The sequence below is a fragment of the Homo sapiens genome, chromosome 10 (genome assembly GCF_000001405.40).
Source record: "Homo sapiens chromosome 10, GRCh38.p14 Primary Assembly".
In the NCBI taxonomy this organism is placed as follows: Eukaryota; Metazoa; Chordata; class Mammalia; order Primates; family Hominidae; genus Homo; species Homo sapiens.
In genome coordinates, this window is record NC_000010.11 from 121,338,558 (window position 1) to 121,342,044 (window position 3,487).

Genomic DNA, 3,487 nt, shown 5'->3' on the forward strand with positions numbered 1-3,487 from the left:
GCCTTGTCCACAATTATATATCCCCAGTGCCTGCAACTCTGCCTAGCAGAATCTCAAATGCCTTTGGATGTCAGGCAGGTGACAGCAATCAGTGACAAGCACTGGCTGTAAGGCAACAGGGAGGAGTGTGGACTTCTGTGAGTCCAAGCTCAGTGAAAAACATTCAATATGTAAATCCTGTTGCGGGTCAAGCAAAAACACCAGGAGGCTGAAACCCCTCTCTGTCACCAACTCTGACTTGGCAAAGCTCCTCTTTAAGTGCAGTTCCCAGCGTGGTACCTGCTAAGCCAGATGGGGCCTGGCAAGCCCAGAGCAGACATTCTCTCCCCCCAGGATCCAGTCCTCTCCTGGCTTTTTGGAGTTTTCTTTTTTGTTGTTTTCAGTGACTACACCTCACCCTTAGCAAATATATTCAACCAAAGAACCAGTTAGGTTTGTTTCCAAACTTGCCCCCAAAACACAACTACCTTTTTCAGAAAGTGTAACTGAAATTATAAATCAAATTTTAATTAAGAAAACTGAAGAATTAGAACAGAAAGAAATCAAAAATAGATTTAAAAAAATCAGTGATCAGAGGGGACAGAATGTATTGTGTGGTTTATTTTCAACGTGACTTATCTTCTAAATCCCACTTGGTTTAGGCTATCAGAAAGAAATTTCTGTCTCAAGTCTCAGAGCATGTACTCACAGACACATACCGCCCAGAAGCAGAAAATCCACGTCAACTGGGATTAAACAGTTTGCTATCAGTCACCCGCAATCAGTATAATCACCATGGAGTGCTCTGCAATAAACTACTTGTATATTCACGAGAAGTAGCAAAACCCTCAAAGATAAGAAATTCATCATCCCCAAGCAAACTTTGGGCAGACCTGAATCAAAATATCCTTTTGAGGTTGGAAAATGTGGGCATTTCTCTAGCTTGGAAAAAAACTGAAAAGTGGAAGTATATGTCCTCTAAAAAGACAGCTCTAGATTTTCTGTTCAATTCAAACCCCACAGCTATGGAAAGACATCAGAAGCAAAGCTATAGGTTTCATCCCAATTTCCACTGCGGTTGGGTACTTTTATGCAGGCAGAAACATTTAAAGTCTCAGGGTCTACTTCTCCAAATAAAGCTAGACTTCTGCAGCTCTTCCACCACTAACCATTATAATGCATGAAAGGAGTTAATCTGAAACTTCAGTTCTCTGTATTTCTTCAATCAGAAATTGATGTGAAGAGAGTAAAGCTAAACTCACTGAAAATCCAAACACTGATAACCAAGTAGGATCCCCCCATCCCCCACACTCCCTAATACTTTGGCTGGGAGAAGTTTAAGTGTCAGCTCTTTAATAAGACTGATTTAGGGGCTATCCAGCACTCCTTAATTTTGCCAATATTGAATGATGACTGAAAGCATTTTTGATCTGCAGACTCAATTCTGCTTCAAAGCAATGTCTTTCCTAGACTGTTGTGGAATCAGGAATAGGCAGTGATCTCAAAAGACTAAAAGAAAATCAGAAACTCTTAGGATCATGACCACCACTTGCTGACAGAGCCATCACCCCATTTCTTGTGGCCTAACATGGATTACCCTACACGAAGACCCCCTCCTTTCATTGACTTTCTTCCATCTGGAAACAAGACTTCAAGCAGAAATGCAAAAACCCTGGCAAAGCTGTTAGATTTTGGCATTCCCACAATTCCATTGTTTGCTCTAATTTGGGGAGGTCAGAGGAGGAGAGTTCAGAGGGGCACAGGATTCTGAGTTACAAAGCCCCCAGCCCCATTGTTCCCAGAGCCGGCTCACTCCCTCCCCTTCCTCTGAAGTGGCAAATCCCCCAACCCCCCTCAGTGGCCTCTCAGTCTCTGAAAGGCTCAGGCATCCGCTTCACATAATGCTGGAGGAGGAATATTTAGGTTCACTGAGACAATGCTGCAAACAGCTCAACACCCTCTCTCCAGGACTGAGCATCAGACAAGAAAAGGGCCAGCCTGTCCCAAAGCCCCTGTCCCAGTGGTAGACTTTTAAATAAAGTCCTCTGGTGTCTTCATCCCATTGCACTTGTTTAATCAAACGGGTTAAACTTTAGTGGTGTCTTTATTACCGCATTATGCTCTCCTGGGCGGCAGCCTGGAGGTGGGAGGAGGGGACACAAAACGCTACTGCACTTTACCTCCCCTCTTGCCCAGAGTTACAAATCCTGAGAGTGGAAAAAGACAAGTGGAGGAGGGGGCAGAAGTCCACTTTGTCTCCCATTGTCATTCAGCGGGTTTATAAAGGTGGGGGGAGAAGAATTTGAATGGGGTGAGACCAGCCTATGGGAAAGGGAGACAAATCACTGCAAAGCCAGAAGGCTGAGGATGCAAGTCATAAAATGACCCCTTTTAGAGGTCTTATTGGGAAAGGCTTTTTGAAGATTAATGTTAGGTTCAAGACAGATGCTGGTGGGGTTGATTTTTACAAATTTTAGAGTTGGAAATAGTCAATAGGTTCTGAAAGCATTCTAAATCCCCATTGTCAACCAGGAATCAATGCATTACTGATTTTCTCAAGAGTTTCTCTTCTGGCAAAGATGTCTTTAATAGAGAGGGAAAAAATAGATATAGATATATACCTAGACGAATGATATATATACATATAGTACACATAGATACATGTATATACATACATGTGTGCATTTTGACAGGTTACAGAATTCCTACTAAAAGAAAACTAGTCAATTTGCTTTTTCTGGTTACCCAGAAAATTGAAGGCCAACGGGAGAGCTCATTGCAGGACTGATCTATTCTTCAAGTATTGCCAACTTGTTTCCCATTATTTGGGACAGATCCCAAGACAGTGACTCTAGGTGGACTCCAGGGGGCTTCCTAGGGTGATGACACAAAAGCAAACTTGATGGTGAAGGGAAAGCCCCTACCGGATCTCAAACTCTGGGCTCTGCTGGCCACAACATGGTGCAGTTGCAATTGAATATGGAGTCCTGTAAATTGGTTACAGAAACACAGTTCAGAAGGAGAAAGCCAATCAAAACGATCAAATACAGAAGGGTTTAATACCAATGGACACCTCAGTAAAACAATTGTAACATTTGAGCCACTGCCGGGAACACAAAGATATGTGAGGATCTACACTGATACCTGGAGCTGGAATCTGAAGAGCGAGATGTAAAGATGGGCTTGCTTTTTGTTTTTGTTTTTGTTTTTGTTTTTGTTTTTGTTTTTTTTGAGACGGAGTCTCACTCTGTCACCTAGGCTGGAGTGCCACAATCTCAGCTTACTACAACCTTCGCCTCCCAGGTTCAAGCAATTCTCCTGCCTCAACCTCCCGAGTAGCTGGGATTGCAGGCACACGGCACCATGCCCAGATATTTTTTGTATTTTTAGTAGAGACAGGGTTTCACCATGTTGGTCAGGATGGTCTCAAACTCCTGACCTCGGGATCCACCCACCTCGGCCTCCCAAAGTGCTGGGATTACAGGCGTGAACCGCCGTGCCCAGCTGT

The 3,487-nt window shown here is 43.5% G+C and overlaps 1 annotated feature.

The window, feature by feature from the left end:
* Positions 1,389–1,949: an enhancer, noted in NCBI's record as "NANOG-H3K27ac hESC enhancer chr10:123099460-123100020 (GRCh37/hg19 assembly coordinates)". NCBI's record gives its function as "activates a minimal SCP1, AML or CMV promoter by ChIP-STARR-seq in primed H9 embryonic stem cells {active_cell/tissue: H9 hESC(primed)}" and the evidence as "EXISTENCE:reporter gene assay evidence [ECO:0000049][PMID:30033119]".